The 23869-nt window shown below is 58.2% G+C and overlaps 1 protein-coding gene across 8 annotated transcripts, besides 5 other annotated features; it reads right to left on the bottom strand.

Moving 5' to 3' along the window:
* WDR81 (WD repeat domain 81) lies at positions 1527-23589 on the bottom strand. 8 transcript variants are annotated; one of them, NM_152348.4, is made up of 11 exons: positions 23479-23589; positions 11486-12122; positions 9625-9732; positions 9167-9357; positions 8854-9044; positions 7622-7787; positions 7281-7446; positions 5896-6585; positions 4395-4540; positions 3894-4073; positions 1527-2747 (listed from the first exon to the last, which is right to left on the bottom strand). In NM_152348.4, the coding sequence occupies exons 2-11, from the start codon at positions 11997-11999 to the stop codon at positions 2427-2429; spliced, it is 2673 nt and encodes an 890-aa protein (NP_689561.2). In that variant the 5' UTR covers positions 12000-12122; positions 23479-23589; the 3' UTR covers positions 1527-2426. The 8 variants fall into 8 exon arrangements, with proteins under 8 accessions (NP_689561.2, XP_011521953.1, NP_001157145.1 ...); XM_011523651.3 differs by lacking the exon at positions 23479-23589 and adding an exon at positions 15326-15408; NM_001163673.2 differs by lacking the exon at positions 11486-12122.
* Positions 3183-3477: a silencer, noted in NCBI's record as "tiled region #4635; K562 Repressive DNase matched - State 5:Enh". NCBI's record gives its function as "represses a minimal TATA promoter and a strong SV40 promoter by Sharpr-MPRA in K562 cells {active_cell/tissue: K562}" and the evidence as "EXISTENCE:reporter gene assay evidence [ECO:0000049][PMID:27701403]".
* Positions 3718-4233: an enhancer, noted in NCBI's record as "H3K27ac-H3K4me1 hESC enhancer chr17:1639173-1639688 (GRCh37/hg19 assembly coordinates)". NCBI's record gives its function as "activates a minimal SCP1, AML or CMV promoter by ChIP-STARR-seq in primed H9 embryonic stem cells {active_cell/tissue: H9 hESC(primed)}" and the evidence as "EXISTENCE:reporter gene assay evidence [ECO:0000049][PMID:30033119]".
* Positions 4234-4751: an enhancer, noted in NCBI's record as "H3K27ac-H3K4me1 hESC enhancer chr17:1638655-1639172 (GRCh37/hg19 assembly coordinates)". NCBI's record gives its function as "activates a minimal SCP1, AML or CMV promoter by ChIP-STARR-seq in primed H9 embryonic stem cells {active_cell/tissue: H9 hESC(primed)}" and the evidence as "EXISTENCE:reporter gene assay evidence [ECO:0000049][PMID:30033119]".
* Positions 15345-15845: an enhancer, noted in NCBI's record as "H3K4me1 hESC enhancer chr17:1627561-1628061 (GRCh37/hg19 assembly coordinates)". NCBI's record gives its function as "activates a minimal SCP1, AML or CMV promoter by ChIP-STARR-seq in primed H9 embryonic stem cells {active_cell/tissue: H9 hESC(primed)}" and the evidence as "EXISTENCE:reporter gene assay evidence [ECO:0000049][PMID:30033119]".
* Positions 23114-23755: an enhancer, noted in NCBI's record as "NANOG-H3K27ac-H3K4me1 hESC enhancer chr17:1619651-1620292 (GRCh37/hg19 assembly coordinates)". NCBI's record gives its function as "activates a minimal SCP1, AML or CMV promoter by ChIP-STARR-seq in primed H9 embryonic stem cells {active_cell/tissue: H9 hESC(primed)}" and the evidence as "EXISTENCE:reporter gene assay evidence [ECO:0000049][PMID:30033119]".

Genomic DNA, 23869 nt, shown 5'->3' with positions numbered 1-23869 from the left:
TCACTGTCCTGCTCCTCACTCCCTGCATCAGGCTCCTTCCCACCCTCACTGTCCTGCGCCTCACTCCCTGCATCAGGCCGCCTCCCACCCTCACTGTCCTGCGCCTCACTCCCTGCATCAGGCTCCTTCCCACCCTCACTGTCCGGCTCCTCACTCCCTGCATCAGGCCACCTCCCACCCTCACTGTCCTGCTCCTCACTCCCTGCATCAGGCTCCTTCCCACCCTCACTGTCCGGCTCCTCACTCCCTGCATCAGGCTCCTTCCCACCCTCACTGTCCTGCGCCTCACTCCCTGCATCAGGCCCCTTCCCACCCTCACTGTCCTGCGCCTCACTCCCTGCATCAGGCTCCTTCCCACCCTCACTGTCCTGCGCCTCACTCCCTGCATCAGGCCGCCTCCCACCCTCACTGTCCTGCGCCTCACTCCCTGCATCAGGCCACTTCCCACCCTCACTGTCCTGCTCCTCACTCCCTGCATCAGGCTCCTTCCCACCCTCACTGTCCTGCGCCTCACTCCCTGCATCAGGCTCCTTCCCACCCTCACTGTCCTGCGCCTCACTCCCTGCATCAGGCTCCTTCCCACCCTCACTGTCCTGCGCCTCACTCCCTGCATCAGGCCGCTTCCCGCCCTCACACCTGCTCCTCACTCCCTGCATCAGGCCACTTCCCACCCTCACTGTCCTGCTCCTCACTCCCTGCATCAGGCTCCTTCCCACCCTCACTGTCCGGCTCCTCACTCCCTGCATCAGGCTCCTTCCCACCCTCACTGTCCTGCTCCTCACTCCCTGCATCAGGCTCCTTCCCACCCTCACTGTCCTGCGCCTCACTCCCTGCATCAGGCTCCTTCCCACCCTCACTGTCCTGCGCCTCACTCCCTGCATCAGGCCGCCTCCCACCCTCACTGTCCGGCTCCTCACTCCCTGCATCAGGCTCCTTCCCACCCTCACTGTCCTGCGCCTCACTCCCTGCATCAGGCTCCTTCCCACCCTCACTGTCCTGCGCCTCACTCCCTGCATCAGGCTCCTTCCCACCCTCACTGTCCTGCGCCTCACTCCCTGCATCAGGCTCCTTCCCACCCTCACTGTCCTGCGCCTCACTCCCTGCATCAGGCTCCTTCCCACCCTCACTGTCCTGCGCCTCACTCCCTGCATCAGGCTCCTTCCCACCCTCACTGTCCTGCGCCTCACTCCCTGCATCAGGCTCCTTCCCACCCTCACTGTCCTGCGCCTCACTCCCTGCATCAGGCCGCCTCCTACCCTCACTGTCCTGCTCCTCACTCCCTCCATCAGGCCCCTTCCCACCCTCACTGTCCTGGAAACTGCTGGGTCTCGACTTTCCCCACCCTGACACCACCAGCAAGATAAGCCTCAGGCTGGGCGTGGTGGCTCATGCCTGTAATCCCAACACTTTGGGAGGCCGAGGCAGGAGGATCGCTTGAGCCCAGGAGTTGGAGACCAGCTTGGGCAACATAGTCAGACTCCATCTCTATTGAAAAAAAAAAAAAAGACAAGCCTCAGTTCACCCCATGGCTCTTCCAAAGGATTTATTGGTCCTATTTACATCTATTGCAAATTGTGAGAAGGCAGCAGGGGCCAACCCCTGGACCTCATCTCTGTCTAGAATGTGAGGTCGCAGGGATGCTTAAGTCTTCCTCTGGCAGAGACCCGAGGTGCAGAGATGATTCTTCTCACCCCTTCTCTCAGGGTCGTGGAGCCCCAGCAGGGGTTCAGGGCCCAGAGGCTGCCCCCTCAGCTGAAGGCACAAACACTGTGGTAGGGGTGGGCAGACAACGCATGGACTCACTCCTGGCAGGCGCCACTGGCCAAGTGCACCTTTTCCCCCTGCTCCTAGCCTCCTTCTTCCTTCCCGTCCCGGTCCCACACTGGCCAGGGCCTGGATGGGTGGCCACTTAAACCCCAGACCCAAGCCCTTAACTCCTGGACCACGGCCAGCCTTCCTTAGGCTGGAATCCAAGCACCATCAGTGCCCTGGACCAGGCCAGCTTCCCTGTCCTAGAGGGATGGGACAGAGAGTGCCCAGCGGGGGCTGAGGGGCTAGAGACCGGCTGGGCAGGGCCAGTCTCCCTTCCCCTTCCCGAGCTTCCCTGTCCTCATGTGGACCCAGAGGGCAGAGCTGGGGAGAAGTGAAGGTAGCAACGCTTCCTCCTGCTCTTAACTTCCTGCTTGCTAGGAGCCCTGTGTCCCCAAGCCATGAATGAGACCCCTCTGGCAGGCTTGGTGGCTCTGGTGATTCAGGGGCCAGGACTCCCCCACTCCATTTGCAGGCCCTAGTTGGCAGGCCATGTGGGCACCCAGGGCGTGGGACCCAGGGCCTCCCTGGAGGGAGCTGCTGCTCAGGGAACAGGGTGAGTGGACACGCGCCCGCAGATGTCTTCCCACCCTTGCCCGGCCAGCTCCTGCCTCAGTCTATGCCAGGAGGCGGATAACCCCGTTGTCTGAGCCCAGCAGGAGGTGGCGTTTAGTGGGCAGCAAGGCCAGGCTGGTGAGCGTGCCGCGGAAGTTCTCAGAGCTGAGCTTCGTGGTGGCCTGCGAGGGTGGCTCAAGCAGGGAGCAGACGCCAATCTTGTTGGACACGGTGCCAGTGACCACCTCGCTGCCGTACAGGTCAAAGGTGTGGATGGGGTCGGATGCTGACTTGTAGTGATGGGTGGGCTTCTGCTCCAGCTCCTTCCAGACGGTCAAGGAATGGTCAGAGGAGGAGCTGACCAGGACGCTGCCCTCCACCGCCTGTCCCGGGAGAGGAGAGCCTCAGCAGGAGCCTGGGTCCTTCTGCATACCCTTGGGCCCCAAGGCCTTCCCAGTTCCCTCCGCAGTTTCTCTCCAGGGAGACAGGCCGTCCTGGGTGGGTGACAAGCCGCCACCCTCCCACACACACCATATTCACGTTGGTTCATTTTAATACGCTCAGCATCCGTAACCCAGTCGTCACTCTAACTTGAGAACTACGCACAGGCATGGTGCCAGGCGTGCACGTGACGACCTTGACCTTCGTAACAACCCTATGCGGTGGATGCTGCCATTGTCCCCATTTCACAAACAGGAAAAGTGAGGCTCAGAGAAGTGAAGTAACCATACCAAGGTCATGGGGCCAGCAAGCAGCAGAGCTGGGATTAACACCCAGGCTGACCCCAGAGCCCTCCTGACACTTTCTTGGAAAGTTAGAATTTGGGGGCACCTTGAGCTGAGGGTTCCCTGGGGCTCTGGAGGGAGCCAGCGACAGCCTGCTGTCAGCAGGGCAATGCAAGACTCCTGGCCTCCAGCCAAGCTGGGGAGGAAAGTCCCAGCTGCCTGCAGAAATCCTCCCACACGAAGCCCTGTTCCTCCCCTCCTGGGCCTCCCTGAGCAGCTCCCCGAGGCCTGTGACTGAGAATGGAGGGAGGGGGAGGGGAAGGAGACGGGGACAGGATCCCCATGCCCAGGCGTGCTCCTGCCCCCAGCCAGGGCAGCCCGGCAGGGCCATGGACTCTGCTCAGCGGTCTACAGGCAGTAAACAGCCTCCCAGCTCAGCTTTATTTAACCTGAACTAGGTCACGGACAGGGCCTGACCCCTGATCCTCCAAGCAAGACAAATATGGACAAGGGTTACTCATTAGAACATCGCCATGAGCAACAGGGTCAGCCCTGCCCCATAGCTCCCGCCCCACTGCCCCGTGGCTCCCGCCCCCATGGCCTGCCTCCTGCTGAGACCCCTGCAGTGCAACTGGCTCCCAAGGTGGACCGAGAGGGCTACCCTCCCTGCCCAGTTAGTCCTGGACCAGGTATATAAGACAGACCAGTTCGAGCCTGAACCCGGGCAGGCAGACCCTAAGCAGGGGTGATGGCTGGACAGGGGCGGGGGTTGGGCAGCAAGGGGAGGGAGACCCGGCCCGTCACCTTGATCTGCAGAATGTCCCCCTCGTGGGCTGGCCAGCCTCGCAGAACCAGGCCTGTGCGGGTGTCCAGGAGCACCATGAAGCCTGAGGAGAAGCCGGCCACGACACTACGGCCACTGGGGCTGATGGCCAGGGCACGGACAAGCCCAGGGTTCAGCCCACCGCCCAGTCGGAACTCGTGCTGCAGGGAGAGGGCGGCTGAGCTGAGGCACCACCTTCCCATCTCACACTCCCCAAGGCCCTGCCCACCACCCAAGCCCACACAGCAGGAAGGCCTGAGCCTCTGACCCTCATCAGGGGGCATGAAAAGCCCAGAACCCCACCCCCATCACAGGCCAGAGTCCTGCCCCGCAGGATGTGTGGCTGTGGGTGATCTAGCACCAAAGAGAAACTAACTAGGGCCCCAGAACAACATCCTGGCTTTCTGTTTTTGGGGAGTCTCTCCTCCTTGCCAGGTCCCCAGAGAACCAGGCGAGTGCTCAGGGAACTGGACCCCCCTGACCTGCAGACCAGGCTTCCTGCAGTCCACAAAGCGCAGGGTAGAGTCAGAGCTGGCCATGGTGATGCTGGTGTGGGGGGCGGGCATGACAGCCACCGCAGTCAGGGGCACCCGGCTGTCCAGCGGCTCCACTGTGCGAAGGGTCTTCCCTGGGAAGGAAAGTCACAGTGGATCTGGGGTCCCAGCAGCTGACGGAAGAGCCCTGGGAGCTTCTAATCCCCCAACTCACCGCACACCTGCCTCCCGTCCCCCAGGGATCCTTAGAAAATGCTAAAGATGTTTCTCTTTTTTTGAGATGGAGTCTCGCTTTGTCGCCCAGGCTGGAGTGCAGTGGTGCAATCTCGGCTCACTGCAACCTCCACCTCCCAGGTTCAAGCAATTCTCTTGCCTCAGCCTCCCGAATAGCTGGGACTACAGGCGTCCGCCACCACGCCTGGCTAATTTTTTGTATTTTTGGTAGAGACGGGGTTTTACCATGTTAGCCTGGATGGTCTCGATCTCCTGACCTCATGATCCACCCACTTTGGCCTCCCAAAGTGCTGGGATTACAGGCGTGAGCCACCGCGTCCGGCCTTTTTTTGTATTCTTAGTAGAGATGGGGTTTCACCATGTCAGCCAGTCTGGTCTCCAACTCCTGGCCTCCCAGAGTGCTGAGATTACAGGCGTGAGCCACTGCATCGGCCTAAAGATGTTTCTTGACTCTCCCACCTTCCTGCTTCCATGGCCCGGCCAGGCTCCCATCCCCAAAGCAACCTCCTCTCTCTGCACAGTGCTGCTGACCCAATGCCACCTCCCTCTGTCTTCCCCGACACCATCCCTTTCCCCCTTTTAACCATATTTCTCCCTATGGTGACGCCAAAAAATAAGCAACCATTGACCAAATATCTGCTACACATGAAGCCAAAACCCTACATGTGTTATCTTCTTCTTTTTTTTTTTTTTGAGACAGAGTCTCGCTCTGTTGCCCGGGCTGGAGTGCAGTGGTGCGATCTCGGCTCACGGCAACCTCTGCCACCTGAGTTTGAGAGATTCTCCTGCCTCAGCCTCCTGTGTAGTTGGGAGTACAGGCACCCGCCACCACGCCCGGCTAATTTTTGTATTTTTAGTAGAGACGGGGTTTCACCATGTTAGCCAGGATGATCTCGATCTCCTGACCTCGTGATCCACCCGCCTCAGCCTCCCAAAGTGCTGGGATTACAGGCGTGAGCCACTGCGCCCGGCTGTGTGTTATCTTCTACGCCAGTTTTTCTGATTCTCAGTTTATAGATGGGAAAGGAGACGCTTCCAGCAGCAGGAACTTGCTCAAGGTCACTCAGCAAGTAAGCCGGTGGAGCCAATTCAGACTCAAGTCTAACAGATTCGAAGCCCTAACTGTTCTCCTAGGCGGCCTCGCTGGGTCTCCCCAAACTCCGCAGCATTACAGCCCCACCCTCGGGCCCCCTTCCTGGAGGCCTGGTGGGGCGCAGGAGCAGGAAGAGAACAGGCCTCACCTGGGCCCGCTCACCTGTGAAGGGGTCCCAGACGTGCACAGCCCCGTCACAGCTCACCACGTGCTGCGGGGCCTCAAGCTGGCCCACGAAGAAGACGCTCTTGCGGTGCTGGGTGTAGACGAGGCGTGGGGCCGTCTCGCTGGTCCCGTCGCCGTAGTTGTACAGCGGCCAGAGGCGCACGGTACGATCCTTGCTGCCGCTCAGGAAGAAGTCCTCGCTGCTTAGGGGTGCCACGCACTTGACGGCCCCCGAGTGGCCCGGGAAGCTCTGCAGGCGGATCTGGTGGAAGTGAAAGTGGGCATCCTGCTGGCTCACGCCGATCTCGTACTGCCAGTACGCCAGCCAGTTTCCGCTCAGCCCGTGCACGCTCCGCGGCAGCTCCTGCTTCAGGGCGTTGTCGTCGCTCCCGCTGCCCAGGCCCCCGCCACCCACCCCCGAGATGGGGCCCAGTGGTCCGGGGTTCTCAGGCCGAGAGTCATTGGGGATCTGAATGCGGTTCCCCACCAGGACGCTCCCAAAGGTCCCTGAGTGGCCGTCATCCTGAGGGCAGCCCCCACCATGGGGGTCCCACTCGGGCCCGGTGCCGGGCATGGTGGGCTCCACGCTGGCAGGGTTGCGACTGCTGGGGCTGATGCTCTCCAAGTACAGCGCCGCCAGCTCCCCAACCAGCTCGTGGTTGGGGATGATTTTCCGGATGATGTCACCTGGATAGGAGTGGGAGAGGTCCTGAGACAGGGAAGATGGCAGGCGGCTGCTATCACCCATCCAAGGACTCGGGAGCCACAGAAGATGGGGCAGGAACTGGCTCTGCAACTCTGGGCAAGTAACTCTGTCTCTGAGCCTCAGTTTCCTCCTCAGTGAAATGTGGATTCATTCCGTTGTGATGTACACATGAGCATCTTCTATATGTGCCGTGCCGTGCTGGGCACTAGGAATAGAATATGGAACAAGACAGGTGGTGCCCTGGCCTCCCAAGCTTAGATTTCAGTGGCAGGATGATAACAGGTGTAACCACAAGGCTGTCTGTCCTCTCCAGGGAGATGACACGCTGAAACGATCAGCACAGCACCGTGCAGGGCCCAGAGGGGAAGCTTCGTAAACAGGAGGCCACTCCTTCCCTCTCGCCAGCTCCTGCGGACCGCCAGTCCACCTCCCTGACTCTCCTGCCTTCCCCAGGGACACTACAGGCCAGCTTCTGGGCCTCTCTTGCTGGCTACTGCTCAGTCCTTGTTTGTGTGTCACCTTGGGGGTAGGGGTCTGAGGCCAAATCCCTTTGCTCTCACCCATCCTGCTGGCTCTTAGAACCCACTGCTGACTCTGGGGCAAGGGCAGAGAATGGGGCCTCCCAAGGGAGGAGACAGCCACGAAGACTGTGATGGGGAACGTGATGGGGCAGTACCCAACAGGCAGGAGAAGGGCACGTAGATTGTGTATGCCATCTCCAGGGTGAACACCTTCTGCAGCTCGTCCAGCAGGGCGGGGTCCACGGGCCGCTGCTGCCCATCAGAGAAGACCACCTGTGGCAGCTGGCCCTCACCACGGCCCGCAGGGTCCAGCTTCAGATCCTATGAGCAAGACACCCAGGGGGTCAGCCGGGTCCACAGCTCCCACCCTGGCCCACCCTGGTCCTCGCCACGGCCCGCGGAGTCCAGCTTCAGATCCTATGAGCAAGATGCCCAGGGGGTCACCCAGGTCCACAGCCCCCGCCCCAGCCCGCCCTGGCCCAGCAGATCTGCCCACCTGTTGCCGAAGCTCATGCAGCTGAGAGAAGACCTGGAAAAAGGTGGCCACGGGCTCGCTCAGGTGCTGCTGGACCATCTCCTGTCCAATGCGCAGGCAGATGAGGGCGATGAGGCTGATGGTTTTCACACACAGGATGGTCCGAGCCTGGGCCCCACTTGGGAACCTGGAAACAGAGCTCATGAGCTCCAGCCCGCCGTTCTGCAGGACTTGACCAGAATCTAGCAAAATCTTTATTTATTTTTATTTTTATTGAGATGGAGTCTTGCTCTGTCATCCAGGCTGGAGTGCAGTGGTGCGATCTCGGCTCACTGCAACCTCTGCCTCCCGGGTTCAAGCGATTCTCCTGCCTCAGTCTCCCGAGTAGCTGGGACTACAGGCATGAGCCACCATACCCGGCTAATTTTTTTTGTATTTTTAGTAGAGACAGGGTTTTGCCATATTGGCCAGGCTGGTCTCGAACTCCTGACCTCAAGCGATCCACCCACCTTGGCCTCCCAAAGTGCTGGGATTACAGGCATGAGCCACAGCACCCAGCATATATATATACTTTTTTTTTTTTTTGAGACAGAGTCTTGCTCTGTCGCCTAGGCTGCAGTACAATGGCGTGATCTCAGCTCACTGCAACCTCCGCTTCCTGGGTTCAAGCAATTCTCCCGCCTCAGCCTCCTGAGAACCTGGGATTGCAGCCTCCCGAGAACCTGGGATTGCAGGCACCTGCTGCCATGCCCAGCGAAGATTTTGTATTTTTAGTGGAGACGGGGTTTCACCATGTTGGCCAGGTGGGTCTCAAACTCCTGACCTCGTGATCCACCCGCCTTGGCCCCCCAAAGTGCTGGGATTACAGGGGTGAGACACCACGCTCGGCCTTTATATATATTTTTAGAGAGGGGGTCTCATTTTGTTGCCCAGGCTGGTCTTGAACTCCTGGGCTCAAGCAATCTTCCCGCCTCAGCCTCTCAAAGTGCTGGGATTACAGGCATGAGCCACCGTGCCCGGACATATCAAAAGCTTTAAATGAAAGAGCTCCAAGACCAACTGGTCCAAACCAGATGAGGAAACTGAGGCACAGGAAAAGGGTGTGGTTTGCTCAGGGTCACACAGCCGGGATCAAAACCAGGACTCTTGACACCCAGTCCAGTGTTACGTCCTCTCCCCTGAGCTTCCCACCCCCTCCTGGGCAGCCCCTCCGCTGGGCCGGTCCCCCTACATCAGCTGGGGCAGAGGCCTACCCCGTGACGAGGGAGGTGAGGAAGCTGAGCACGGGCAGCAGGACCTCATGGCTGATCCGGGGCAGGATGTCCATGAGTGTGGTGTCTGAGAGGTACACGATGATCTTCTGAGTCAGCGTCACCGCGGCCAGCAGCCCCGCCTCCTTACGGCTGTTCAGTCGGCTGGGGCCTGAGGCACTCCCTGGGGCCACCTAGAGCCACCGAGCAGATGAGGGCCGGGCAGCCCCACAGACCCCCTGGCACCAAGAGAGCCCGGGCCGGCCCTCAGGTCCTCAGCCTTCCCAGCCCCGGGCCTGCCAAACCAGCGACTGACCAGGTAGCTGATGTAGGGCAGGTACTGGTAGGTGAGGACAGGCTCCCCATACAGGCGGGCGATGTGGAGGAGGCAGCTGAGCACAGGCCCTGACACGATGTCGCCCAGGACCGGCCTCTTCTGGTAGATGTTGCCGGCGCTCAGCGGTGGGCTCTCGCCACTGCTCACTGTGAACTGCTGCCGAGTGGGTCCTGCCACGGAAGGGCCAGCAGCCCTGAGTCGCCAGTGGAGGGCCGGGGGTAGCCTGGCCCTGCAGGGCTGTGCTGGCCGCTTGAGCTCACTCTAGCTGGGGGCCCAGCCTGGCCCTACCCAAGGCTGGCACTTAGACTGGGACCCAGCACCTGGCCGGGGGGTGGTTTGAGGGAGGGGTGGGAAGGATCCCCGCCGGAGAGCGCTGAAGCTAGGCAGAGGGCCTGGGAGAAAGCCTCATCTCCAGCACTGACCGCAGGCCTCCTTACCAACATAACAAGACGTCAGCAGGCGGAGCAGGTTCCGGGCCACGTGGCGAGAGGCCACTGTGGGGCCGAGCTTGGCAGACAGCCAGCGGACCATCTTGCAGGCTGTATCTGCGGGGTGGGAGCAGGCCCTGAGCTCCTCAGATAACAGGGGCTCATCACCCCTCCCACCCCACCCCACGGCACCCCACTCAACCACCTGCGGCTGCAGCTCTGCCAAGAGCCCAGCCCGGGCCGGCTGTCCCACACCACCCCCTCCACGTAACAGCGGCAGAGGTGCCCAGGCCCTGGCCTGTGGGACTCTGGCTGCCGCAGGTTCCTCTCCACAGGCACGACCCGCAGGAAGTTAGCCTGCCCGTGGGTCTTCTGAAACTCCTTAACAAGGCCTGGCCCGGCCCTGGCCACCTTCCCTCTGGCCTCTCTTCCCTCCACTCCCTCGGTCTCGCCATAACGGCCTTTCCCTGCTTCTCTTCTTCTTCTTCTTCTTTTTTTTTTTTTTTGAGACAGAGTCTCGCACTGTTGCCCAGGCTGGAGTGCAATGGCACAATCTCAGTTCATTGCAACCTCCACCTTCCACCGCCCTGACTCTCCTCCTTGAACCTCCGGGTTCAAGCGATTCTCCTGCCTCAGCCTTCCAAATAGCTGAGATTACAGGCACCCTCCACCATGCCCAGCTAAGTTTTTGTATTTTTAGTAGAGATGGGGTTTCACCATATTGGCCAGGATGGTCTCAATCTCCTGACCTTGTGATCCATCCGCCTCAGCCTCCCAAAGTGCTGGGATTACAGGCGTGAAGCACCGCGCCCGGTCCCCCGCTTCTCTTCTTTAATGGAACATGACAGCCTCAGAGCCTCACACATGCTGTTCCCTCAGCCTTCAGACTTTCTTTTTGCCCATTTTTGTCTACCTTCTTCCTACTCCTCCTTGAACCTCAACTGTCTCTCCTTTTAAGGAAGCCTGCTCTGACCCTTGAAAACTAGATGTAAAAGCACCATTTTTTTTTTCTTTTTTGAGACGGAGTCCCGCTCTGTTGCCCAAGCTGCAGTGCAGTGGTGTGATCTCAGCTCACTGCAACCTCCACCTCCTGGGTTCAAGTAATTCTCCTGCCTCAGCCTCCTGAATAGCTGGGATTACAGGTGCCCGCCACCACGCCTGGCTAATTTTTGTATTTTTAGTAGAGATGGGGTTTCACCATGTTGGCCAGGCTGGTCTCGAACTCCTAACCTCAAGTGATCCTCCTGCCTCGGCCTCCCAAAGTGCTGGGATTAGAGGCGTGAGCCACGGCGCCCGGCCGAAAAGCTCCATGTTGCACTCCCTCCTAGGAATGCAGCCATGTTCTTTATCGCACTAACATAATACACTTGCTTAAGACTGTCTGCACTGCGGCATCTCGTCTGCTGGGTGTGAGCTCTGTGAAGGCAGGCCTACATTTGTGTTGCCGGTGGTCCTGGCTCGATCCACTGCTTGGCACAGAGTAGGTGCTCTGCCAGTGTGCAGGGAGAAGCAGGAGCTGTTTTTTTGTTTTGTTTTGTTTTTTTGAGATGGAGTCTCGCTCTGTCGCCCAGGCTGGAGTGCAGTGGTGCGATCTCGGCTCACTGCAAGCTCCGCCTCCCGGGTTCACGCCATTCTCCTGCCTCAGCCTTCCGAGTAGCTGGGACTACAGGTGCCTGCCCCCACGCCCGGCTATTTTTTTGTATTTTTAGTAGAGACGGGGTTTCACCTTGTTATTAGGATGGTCTCGATCTCCTGACCTTGTGATCCGCCCGCCTCAGCCTCCCAAAGTGCTGGGAATACAGGCGTGAACCACTGTGCTCGGCCAGCAGGAGGTGTTTTTGACCAACACCTCCCAGACCTGGGAACTTACCAAGGAGGATCTTCTGTTCTTTGCCTTCTGACTGCTCAGGCAGTGCCTCCTCCTCTTCTTCTCCATCTCCCCCACTGCCGCCGGCCACAACCGTCTCCATGGACAGCACCGTGTCAGACAGAGTGAGCTCAGATGCCCCGGTGACCTCCTCCTGCTCCCCCTCCTCCTCCTCTAGCACCACGCAGCTGTCCTCCTCCTCCTCTTCCTCCTCGGAGCCCTCGCTTTGCTTCAAGTCCTGGCTGCTGTCACCTGATCGAAGGCTGCTCTTGTCCACGGGGGCACCCCCCTCGTCTGGAGCCCGCTCCTCACCCAGGGAGGTCTCGCTGGTGCTGCTCTTGTCACTCAGCCGGCCCAGGCTCACAGCCTCAGCCTCCTGGGGCTGGGGAGACTCAGTCACATAGAGCCCGGCTTGGAAGTCCTCTGTCTCAGGGAGGTCAGCCTGGTCGTGGAAGCTGACGCCAGACGTGTAGTCTGGGAGCCCCAGGCCCGAGGAGGCAGGAGGCTCCCCATCCATGGGAATCTCCTCCCCAAAAGCACAGGAGCCAGGCCCGGCCCCGGGCAGCCCGCTCTCCTCCTCCTCAGCAGCCCCTGCCAGGTCCTTGCTCTCCTCCTGGGAGGCCTCTGCGCCCGCCAGCACCTGCAGGACATGGGGCAGCAGGTGAGTGAGAAATGCCTGCAGGCCCAGCCGCACCATCAGCTGGGCCACAAAGCAGTCCGTGTACAGGTAGAAGCGGCCGTGTAGCTGGCAGGGGCTCTCGTAGGCACCAATGAGCGGCTTCAGGAGGTACTTATTGGCATTTTTGGGGCCCAGTGCCTTGGCAACAGGCTCAAACAGATACCAGGCCGTGTACACAGCTGTGTGCTCCTCGGACATGAGTGAGAGCACGAAGGGCAGCAGGATCTCCAGGCCCTCAGGGGTGATGTCCTTCAGCACCGCGCCCAGCTGCTGCCACAGAGCAAACACCAGCTCGCGCCCCTGGGCCTCGTCCTCCACACGCCTTGCCTGGTACAGGAGGATGAATCTGTGCAGTGCCGGGAAGTAGGGTGGGAAGGGAACCACGGAGCTGAAGGGGCTGAGAAGCTGGCTTGGGCAGGGTGGGGGCAGGCCCTGGGAGACAGGCCTGTACTCAAACAGTTGGTCCAGCTTGCCCCTCTCTGCTCCCATGGGGACTTCGGGGCCACTCATCTGCAGGAGTGTGTCCAGCACGGGCTGCAAAGACACAGGGACCTCCTTGGGGTGGCGCGTGCAGAGCCCTCGGACAGCCTGGAAGCGTACCCACAAAGGTGCATCGGGCTGCAGCGTCCGCACCCTGGTGGCAAACACCATCTCTGCCAATAGGACACCCAGCGCCTGCATGTCCCTGTGGAGTAGGCACTGCAGTGGCACAGCCGGCTGGACCCGGGGCTGCTCAGGCACCTCCAACAGGCCCCCTAGGCCTTTGGCCAAGAAGTTGCCCGTTTTCTCCAGCTCCTCCAGGGCCTGCATGGGATTGAAGCCCTCGGGAAGAAGAATCCTCCCCTCCTCACCCTCCCCAGGGTCTGCCCCAGCAGCTTTATTCCTGCGGCCTGGACGGGAGGCTGAGGCCACTGAGAAAGAGAGAAGTCCAGGGGACGCTTGACTGGAGGAGCCCAGCTGGTCACCTGCTTTCCCAGCAAGGGAAATGGAATCCAGAGCTTCTGTGGCCTGTTCCAAGTCGTCTTCTCCTGCCACCGGCCTGTCTCTGGTCCAGCTAGCCTCACAGGGAGTGGCCTCTAAAACTGGCCGGCCCACTCCATTTGGAAGCTGTCCCGGGTTTTCCGTGAAGTCCTCCCGGCCTGTGGTCTCCTGGATGGTCTGGACCAACAGCTTGGGGATGAGGGGAGGCTCGGGGGCAAGGGCAGGAGCCCCAGCCAGGCGCTGGGGGTGTGGCTGATCGAAGAGCTGCACCACCCCGTAGCTGGCCAGGTGAGTGTGGGCGTCCACCAGGTGCAGACACACATTCTTTTCCTTGACAGCCTCCTTACCCTGGAGTTTATAGCCAAACGTGAGGTCGATCCAATGGTGCAGGTCCCGGGATACCTCGCGGCTCTCCAGCAGGGCTCGGTGGGCAGCTACGAACTCCTGGCTGGAGCTGCACCAGGCTGGCACATCCAGGTCAGGCATGTCGGGGTGGATGGAGCGGAAGATAGAGGGATCGGTGTAGAACTCCGGAATGCACTCATCCGGGGTCCAGTTCTGCATCCGCTCCATGCTGGCCGGATACTCATGGGGCTCCCACTGCGCGCGGACGTGTCCGCAGAGCACCGACCGAGGCGTGCGCCGAGCCTTGTACACATAGTACGTGATGTCGGAGAGCACGTCTGAGATGTGGTGGGGAACATGAGGGGGTTCCCCGCCGCCCGCCCCGCCTGCTACGAATGCCTGCCGTGTCATCTCATACGTGAAGTCCAGTTGCTTATCCCCCTTGTTGAGGCGGAACTTGGACTTGCGCAGGTCTCGGAAGCGCCCATGGGGCGTAGTGAAGTCCACCACCCAGGGCAGCACGGGGTGGTAGTTGGGGTCCCCCTGCCGCCGACCTGCCAACCGATTCAGCTGCATGAGGTAGTGGAAGTTGCTGATGCGGCCGTGGACCCAATCTAGCACGAGGCTCCGAAGTTCCTCCTGGCCAGTGGGTTGCCCAGGTTGCCCTCCCTGCTCCTCTTGAGACACAATGCCCGCCTCATCCCTTGCCACAGGGGCCTCCTCATTCTCGTCCTCCTCGGGCCTCTCATAAGCACTCAGGTCCAGTCGCAGCTCGCTGCAAAGCTTCTCATCCACTGCGATGTGATACAAAGACAGGGCCCCACACGCCAGCCCCTGGCGGTGACAGGCGTCCATAGCCCTCAGCACGCGGAAGAGAATGAACAGCACCTTGGCCTGGCTGTTGGTCAGCTTGGCAGGGCTGAAGGTGACCACGTCATGTAGGGAGAACTGTACGTAAGGGTGTACCACATACAGCATCTCCGGCGACTCCAGCAAGGCCTCAGCCCGTAAAAGACTAGGGCAAGCAGGGCTGCCCCGAGGGGGGCAGGGGCCTTCTCTGGCATATGAAGGGCATTGGGTAGTTTCACCCACTGGCAGGAAGGAGCAACCATAGACCCTCTGCAGAGCCTGCCGTACTGAGTCCAAGGCAGGGACAGCTGAGGGGGCAGGGCTGTGACTGTACGGCTGGCCGTAAGTGTGGTATGCATGGCGCCACAGGTTGCGATAATTCTGGGCGGCAACCTCCTGCATGAAGCGAGTGAGGGTCTCAGGGCCGCAGGACCCGTCCTCAAAGGGCAGGCCCCCGCCCAGAGGGTAGGACAGTCTCCGCTTCCGCAGCCCATGCACCTCCACGCGCGTCCAGCCGGCAGGCAGCCTTTGCACAGAGCGCTGCAGGAGAGTCCTGACTTCCGCTTCTCCCAGGCCCTCTGCGCGGGGACAGGGTCCCAGGGGCAGCCGGCGATCGCGGAGGCTGGCCAGCCAGCGCGCAGGCACTAGGGCCACCACGTGGGTGCCCCCCGGGGCCGGAGCCAGCTGCCTGGGATCGATGCTCAGGTCCCTCTCCACGCTCCGGAGCAGCTCCTGCATGTCTGGGCTTGGCGGGGAATGCCAGCCCCCGGCCGGGGTTCTGAGAGCGCCTTCCCGCCCCCCGCTGCCCTGGGCCATCTCCTCCAGGCCGCCCGGGGGCAGCGCGGGGCTGAGCCCAGCCACGGCCCTGCTGGCGACGGCTTCCGGGGTGCCAGGCCGGCGGGGCTGGGATGGGCGCGGGACAGGGGCTGGGGCGGAGGCGGCCGCAGGAAGCCGGCGGCGGCGAAGAGGCGGACGGGGGGCGCGCTTACCCCTCCGCGGGTCCTGCGCTCCGGGCGCGGCGGGGCAGAGGCTGCCGGGCGCGAGCACCGGGCTCCACCGTGACGGGTCAGCTGACGCGGGTCACGTGATCGCCCCAGCACGGAAACAAGCGCACGTGGCTCCAGAGGCCCGGGCGGGACCCCGCTTCCTGCCCGGCGGCCTCCCCGCCCTCCCTCCCGCTGCTCCGCTCTGGCTCGGTCTGGGCTCCGCTTCCTCCCGGGGCTGAAAGGGTCTCCAGCCAGCTCCAGCCGGGCCCGGCGGAGGGCGATGCCTACCGCCCCACCCCTCCCTACTCCCTCCAGCACGCACCAGCGCGCGGGTCCCGGAGGCTGTTCCCAGAGATGCCAGCCTCTTAGTTAAGTGCGGACCGCACAACCAGGGGCAGAACTGGGACTTCTGTTGTGTCTATTTTTGAGACGGAGTCTTGCTCTGTCGCCCAGGCTGGAGTGCAGTGGCGCGATCTCGGCTCACCGCAACCTCTGCCTCCCGGGTTCAAGCGATTCTCTTGCCTCGGCCTCCCGAGTAGCTGGGACGTCAGGAGCGCGCCACCACGCCCGGCTAATTTTTGTATTTTTTAGTAGAGATGGGGTTTCGCCTTGTTGGCCAGGCTGATCTCGAACTCCTGGCCTCGTGATCCACCCGTCTCGGCCTCCCAAGGTGCTGGGATGACAGGCGTGAGCCACCGCGCCCGGCCAGAACTGGGACTTTTGACATGGAATCCCCCCGGCGCCTCCATGCCACCTTCCATAGGAAGGAGCTTTTTAACTTTCCTAAGTACTTCAACAGTCACATTCCATTTGGCCCTCGCAACACACTCTGTGAGGTAGGGAGGACAGTTATTACTGTTTATATTTTACAAGTGATAACCAACAACCGCCAGAGAGGCTTGTCCGCCTGGCGGAATGGAGACTTAGAAACTGGTGCCAGCCTTCTTTCTGCCCAGGAGCACTGCCTCCTGACAGCCCTCTCACGGCTTTTTAAAAAACAAAACTGGCCGGGTGCAGTGGCTCACGCCTGTAATCCCAGCACTTTGGGAGGCTGAGGCAGCTGGATCACGAGGTCAGGAGATCGAGACCATCCTGGCTAACACGGTGAAACCCCGTCTCTACTAAAAACACAAAAAATTACCTGGCCGTGGTGGGGGGCGCCTGTAGTCCCAGCTACTTGGGAAGCTGAGGCAGGAGAATGGCATGAACCCAGGAGGCAGAGCTTGCAGTGAGCCGAGATGGCGCCACTGTACTCCAACCTGGGCAACAGAGCGAGACTCCGTCAAAAAGAATAAATAAATAAATAAATAAATAAATAAATAAATAAATAAAAATAAATAAATAAAAATAAAACCAAATAAATAAATAAAAATAAATAAATAAAATAAAATAAAAATAAAACGAAACCCTGGGCTGTCTGAGGGAGAGAAGTGGCCCAGGCCCAGAGGCCTGGTGTTTTGGGGGAAGAAATGTTCCCCCAAGACTTCCTGTTGAAGATTGGCCTCTGCGGTACCACAGAGCCTGCCAGCTGTGGTCAGAGCCTCCAGATGTCACTGTGGCTGGGGGAAGGGTGCGGCACAGGATATGGAATAGAAACCAGACAGCCGGCACCAAAGCAACATGATTCCTCAAGGGGTCTTAGTTCTGACTCATCTGCAGGACAGATAGACCATTGTCTACAGTGAAACCACTGGCCCTGTTTCTTTTGTCTCCCTCTTAGGAGAGAGTTTGCCTCTTGAAGGAGTTTGGTGTACAGGTGTGAGGGTCCCATAAAGACACTTAGGAAAACTAGGCCTTGGCCGGTCACGGTGGTTCACACCTGTAATCCCAGCACTTTGGGAGGCCAAGGTGGGCGGATCATGAGGTCAGGAGTTCAAGACCAGCCCGGCCAACTTGGGGAAACTCCATCTCTACTAAAAACACAAAAAAATTAGCCGGGTGTGGCAGCGGGTGCCTGTAATCCCAGCTACTCAGGAGGCTGAGGCAGGAGAATCGCTTGAACCTGGGAGGCGGAGGTTGCAGTGAGCTGAGATCACACCACTGCACTCCAGCCTGGGTGGCAGAGTGAGACTCCGTCTCAAAAAAAAAAAAAAAGAAAGAAAGAAAAGAAAAGAAAACTAGGCCTGATAGGAGAGAAAATAGGAGGGCCGGGTGCGGTGGCTCATGCCTGTAACCCAGCACTTTGGGAGGCTGAGATGGGCAGATCACCTGAGGTCAGGAGTTCAAGACCAGCCTGACCAACATGGAGAAACCCCATCTCTACTAAAATACAAAAATTAGCCAGGTGTGGTGGCGGACGCCTCTAATTCCAGCTACTTGGGAGGCTGAGGCAGGAGAATCGCTTGAACCCAGGAGGCAGAGGTTGCAGTGAGCCAAGATAGCGCCACTGCACTCCAGCCTGGGCAACAGAGTGAGACTCCATCTCAAAAAAAAAAAAAAAAAGAGAGAGAAAACAGGAATGTCTCAGCCATGATCTGATTTCATCTGTCTCCTCTTCCTTGAAGGGTAGCTGGAGCCTCTCATGTGCTTGGTCATATGATCCTGGGCAGTAGTAACTTACAACAAACTTGTATGGAGCATTACCAGGAGCTAGTCATCTGTTAAGCATTTTGCATACCCTGTTTTGTGTAATCCTCACCACCCCTTTTAAGAAGATTTTTTTTTTTAAGACAGAGTTTCGCTCTTGTTGCCCAGGCTGGAGTGCAATGGCGCGATCTCAGCTCACCGCAATCTCCGCCTCCCGGGTTCAAGCGATTCTCCTGCCTCAGCCTCCCTAGTAGCTGGGATTACAGTCATGTGCCACCATGCCCGGCTAATTTTTGTATTTTAGTAGAGACAGGGTTTCTCCATGTTGGTCAGGCTGGTCTCAAACTCCCGACCTCAGGTGATCTGCCTGCCTTGGCCTTCCAAAGTGCTGGGATTACAGGTGTGAGCCACCGTGCCCGGCCTGATTTTTTTTTTTTTTTTTAAGACAGAGTCTCACTCTGTTGCCCAGGCTAGAATGCAGTAGTGTGATCTTGGCTCCCTGCAGCCTCGACCTTCCAGGCTCAGGTGAACTTCCCACCTCAGCCTCCTGAGTAGCTGGGACTACAGGAATGTGCCACCACATCCAGCTAATTTTTTGTATTTTTGTAGTAACCAGGTTTTGCCATGTTTCCCAGGCTGGTCTTGAACTCCTGGGCTCAAGCAATCGGCCCATCTCGGCCTCTCAAAATGCTGGGATTACAGGTGTGAGCCATGGTGCCCGAGTGATTTTTTATTTATTTTTTTTGACACAGGGTCTCACTCTGTCACCCAGGCTGCAGTGCAGTGATTTGTCACAGCTGACTGCAGCCTCGACCTCCCCAGGCTCAGGTGATCCTCCCACCTCAGCCTCCCGAGTAGTTGAGACTACAGGCAGCGTCACCAAGCCCAGCTAATTTTTTTTTTCGAGACAAAGTTTCGCTCTTGTTGCCCAGGCTGGAGTGCAATGGCACCATCTTGACTCACCACAACCTCCGCCTCCCGGGTTCAAGTGATTCTCCTGCCTCAGCATCCCGAGTAGCTGGGATTATAGGTGCCTGCTACCACGCCTAGCTAAATTTTATATTTTTAGTAGAGCTGGGATTACAGTCGTGAGCCACAGTGCCCAGCCCCAACTTTGATATAAATACCTGAAATCAGAGGATATGTTTTGATGGTTAGAAGGTAGTGCTTGCTTCTTAGTACCAATAGAGCTGGCTGGGTCCACCTGTTCTTTGCGCTGGTCTCAGTTTACCTAGATTGAGCAGGTACTACTTTTTCTGTCTGCAAGTCTGTGTGTGCCCTGCCCTCTAGCGGTACTGGGGTTACACTGCAGCAGTGACCTTGAGTGTACCTAATTTTACCTCTTGAAATTCTCCTTTCCTCCCGAGAATAGAGATGTCCTAGCAATATTGGGAACTGGCGCACTGGGATTCCTGGGGCCTCAAACCCTGGCCCAATCTGAGCCCTAGGGCAGTAGTTTTCAAATTTTAGGGCATAATTCTTTTTTTTTTTTTTTTCTTGATACGGAGTCTGACTCTGTCGCCCAGGCTGGAGTGCTGTGGCACGATCTCGGCTCACTGCAACCTTCACCGCCCAGGTTCAAGCAATTCTCCTGCCTCAGCCTCCCGAGTACCTGGGATTACAGGCGCCTGGCTAACTTTTGTATTTTTAGTAGAGATGGGGTTTCACCATGTTGGCCAGGCTGGTCTCAAATTCCTGACCTCAGATGATCCGCCCGCCTCCGCCTCCCAAAGTGCTGGAATTACAGGCGTGAGCCACCATGCCCGGCCCTTTAGGGCATAATTCTAATTCAGGAGTCTGGAGTGAGATACAGCTATCTAAATGTTTAACAAGTACGCGAGGTAATTCTGATGCAGCAACCTTCAGGCTATGTCTTGAGAAGTAACGTCTGTAACAGCTCTCTTCCGGAATTTCCCTCTCACTGCCCCCAGTAAGCGTGTTCCCTGAATCCCAATGCAAGCACCTTTGGGCTCTGGGGAATCTCAGACCAAATTAGCCGCTCCCCTTGGCCAGCCTCAGTATTGGGTTTCCGGGAGGTCATGTCTTGGATAGTCAGGGACAGAGGCTGCAGCTGCCCCACCAGTCAGCCCATGTTGAGCGGGGTCAGCTCTTGCTAATCCGGCAGGGAGAAAAGTAGTGCACCAGCTGCGGACCAGTGTGGCAGGTACTATGCTAGGTGTTTTCTAATTAAATCTACGCTAGGTGTTTTCTAATTAAATCTACGCTAGGTGTTTTCTAATTAAATCTATGCTAGGTGTTTTCTAATTAAATTTGTTTTTCGTTTTTTTCTGAGATGGAGTCACATTCTGTCACCTAGGCTGGAGTGCAGTGGCGCCATCTTGGCTCACTGCAACCTCTGCCTCGGCCTCCTGAGTAGCTGGGACCACAGATACCACCACACCTGGCTAATGTTTTGTATTTTGGGTAGAGCTAGAGTTTCATCATGTTGCCCAGGCTGGTCTCGAACTCCTGAGCTCAAGCAATCTGCCTGCCTCAGCCTCCCAAAGTGCTACAATTACAGGTGTGAGCCACCTCGCCAGGCCATTTTTTAATTTTTTTTTTTTTTAAAGAGGGTCTTGCCACGTTGCCCAGGCTGGTCTTGAACTCTTGGGCTCAAAGTGATCCACCTGCTTCGGCCTCCCAAAGTGCTGGGATTACAGGTATGAGCCACTGTGCCTGGCCACATTTTTAATTTTTTTTTTTTTTTCTTTTTTTGAGACGGAGTCTTGCTCTGTCACCCAGGCTGGAGTGCAGTGGCCCAATCTTGGCTCACTGCAAAGCTCCGCCTCCTGGGTTCACGCCACTCTCCTGCCTCAGCCTCCCAAGTAGCTGGGCACTACAGGCGCCCGCCACCACGCCCGGCTAATTGTTTGTATGTTTATTAGAGACGGGGTTTCACAGTGTTAGCCAGGATGTTCTCCATCTCCTGACCTCGTGATCCGCCTGCCTCAGCCTCCCAAAGTGCTGGGATTACAGGCATGAGCCACCGCGCCCGGGCACATTTTTAACTTTTAAAATATTTTTAAATGTTGAAATCCCTACAACAAGGCTTGAATTCCTTATTCACCGTATGTTGTAGATGAGGGGAAATTATCGGTAACAAGTTCACAGCTAGTAAGAGCTGGAATTTGAATCTAAGTGTGCCTAACACAGTAGTTCTCAGTTGGAGGAGATTTTGGCCCCTAGGAGACATTTGGTAACGTCTGGAGATACTTTTGGTTGTCAAAACTGGGAGCTGGGGGTGGGTGGGTGTTGCCACTGACATCTAGGACAGAGGCCAGGGACCACGTGGATGTCCTATTGTGCACCCGGTAGCCCTCCCACAAGAAATTATTCTACTTAAAATGCCAGTGGGTGCTGAGGTGGCGAAACCCTGGACTCGAAGCCTGTGCTTTTGACCTAGGGGGTGGGGTCAGTGTTCAGAACAAAATGGAAAAGGGTCACCCCAAGGGCCGTGAGTGGGAAAGGGATGGGATTTCTATGCTCAGGATAATGGAGAATAGGGGCCACTGGTGAGGCTTCACTTCCTTCCATGCTTGGCCAGGGCCCTGCTCAATTTCTCCACGCCTTGCCAAGTCAGTCCTAGGACTTCACACTAAGCTTGTCCTGGAGTGACCCTGACTCCCAACTCAGGATCGAGGCAAAATATTTACCTGGGTCTTCCCAGCACTTCCCAGCCAAAGACGCTGGCTTCTGGGGCCAACGTGTCCCACCTGCAGTCCTTGAGCAATTAGGACCCTTGCTATGGGGGGTGGCCATGTGGGCAGGGCACCGCCAAAAGCCAAAAATGGAGCGGCCCAGGGACCAGGTGGCAGCTGAGAACAGTTAGAAGTGGAGTGAATGCGGCCGGGCGCGGTGGCTCACACGCCTATAATCCTAGCACTTTGGGAGACCGAGGCGGGTGGATCACCTGAGGTGAGGAGTTCGAGACCAGCCTGGCCCACATGGCAAAACACCATCTCTACTAAAAATACAAAAATTAGCTGGGAGTGGTAGCGCACGCCTGTAATCCCAGCTACTCAGGAGGCTGAAGGAGGAGAATCGCTTGAACCCGGGAGGTGGAGGTTGCAGTGAGCCGAGATCGCGCCACTGCACTCCAGCCTGGGCAACAGAGCGAGACTCTGTCTCAAAAACAGAAAAAAAAAAAATAAATAAGGAGGTGGAGTAAATGGGCAAAAGCAGGAGGATCCCATCAGCAGACACCTGTCCATGGAGGAATAGGGCAACTTGAGTAGGAAGTAGGGGGCGGCTGGCCTGAGAAGCAGCGTTCTGAACCCCAAGTTTGCTTCCCATAGCCATTCCTCCTCCCCAGGCTTGGTCCTCGGGTTCACTGTACCCTCCCCAGCGCCAGCCACCATTCTGGACCTCCCCAGTACTGGCCTTCCCCTAGACCAGGGAGGGTCTAGACCACAGAGTCTGAATTTACTGTGCTAACAGGAAATACCTCTCTTTCCAAGCCCAGAGCCTCTGAAGAACTAAGGAGCAGAGCGGGGTTGGGGTTGGGGGAGACAGTCTTGGAGTGATGGGGGAAAAGAAAGATCATACAATCACATCCCCCACGTTCTTTCCTTCACCACCCATGGGAGTGGATAAGGGGATGGAGGAGGGTAAGCAAGGAGGAGGATGTGGTAACAGCTGATTCGTCCCCAGAGGTCACACTTTCCAACAATCAGCTGTTACTGGGGCGCAAGGCAGGAAGTTTCCTTAAAGGCGCAATGTCCTGAACGCAGGCTCAGAATTTTGGAGCTCCAAGTGAACCTTATCAATTACCTGATGGAGTGCGTATTTAACAGAAGGAAGGATCTCACCCTCCAGCCTCATCATTCCTGCTTAGTTACCCTCAGCCCCTATTTGGAGCTGAAGGAAAAGGCATGGATTTCAGTCCACATGTTCCTCTTTGGGGGACTTGCGGGGATTGATAAGGTAGGGCAGGTCTCCGGCTTGCCCCTTTAAAAACGCCGACCAGCAGCTTTTGCCAAGTCACTGGGTTCATTTCACTTTTTGCCCATCCCCCGCTCATCTAGACTCTGATTGGCCCCTGGGGAAGGAGCAGCCTGCTCATTGGTCTCCACCTTCGAATCTCTTCCCTAAGTAGGCCTGAGTCAGTGAAGAGCTTTGGAGGGCGGGACTGAATGGGGGTTAATCAGAGGATGCGATTGCTGACCCTTTGCACTTTGGCATGGCCCATCCCCTAATTTCTGACCAGAAGCCCTCCCTCTACCCTAAGGTGAGGACTGTGCTATGAATCTTTTGTTAGAAAGCTACCTCTTGGGAGGCTCTGGGGGCTCTTCTGGGACTGGGAAGAGACATCCAAGAAAAAAAGCCTCCTGTGGTTAGGAAGAGCCCCCAGGAGGAGTGGGCTGGGCGAGGCGAGCACCCTCCCTCCTCCAAAAACCCTGGAGAGCTCTCCAACGGCAGTCTCTGCTGCCCTGGGGGCTGACGCTCTGCCCACTCCTGCTCCTTGGTCCGCTCCACCTTTCCTTAAAGAGCTATAGCGTCCCGCAGAGGCCGGCGAGTCAGTTTGGGGAATGTCTAAAAGAAGCACTCACGACTCCAACAAGGAGGGGCTGTCGCCCTTTAAGGACTTCCCCGGGCTGGATTCCGAGCTCAGTTTAAAAATGCCAACTCACAGAGCGCGCTGGGTTCTGGGAACGACGGTGTCAGGCTGAGAACTACACGGACCAGCATGCATTGCAAACGCAGACGCCGTGGCTTTCGCCTGCTCTTTAGGACTCTCGTTTGACGTAGCGCTTTTCTAAGCGGGTCGCTGACGCGGAGGGCTGGGCCACACCTGTCCGTCTATTGGCCGGCTCCTCAGTGGGTGGGCGTGGCTTCGTGCAATTCCGCCCGGCAAAAGGGTGGCCTCCTTGCCAATCAGAGCCAGGGCGCCCGGAGAGGCGGGACCAGGGCGAGGCCCCGTCGGCCCCCGGGTGGGCGGGGCCACGTTGCCCAGCAGTGGGCGGTGATTGGCCCCGGGCCGTGCATTCGCAGCTCGTGCGTCACGACGCCGCCAGCTGATCG

The sequence above is a fragment of the Homo sapiens genome, chromosome 17, assembly GCF_000001405.40.
Source record: "Homo sapiens chromosome 17, GRCh38.p14 Primary Assembly".
Lineage (NCBI taxonomy): Eukaryota > Metazoa > Chordata > Mammalia > Primates > Hominidae > Homo > Homo sapiens.
This window is presented reverse-complemented; position numbering and strand designations above follow the sequence as displayed.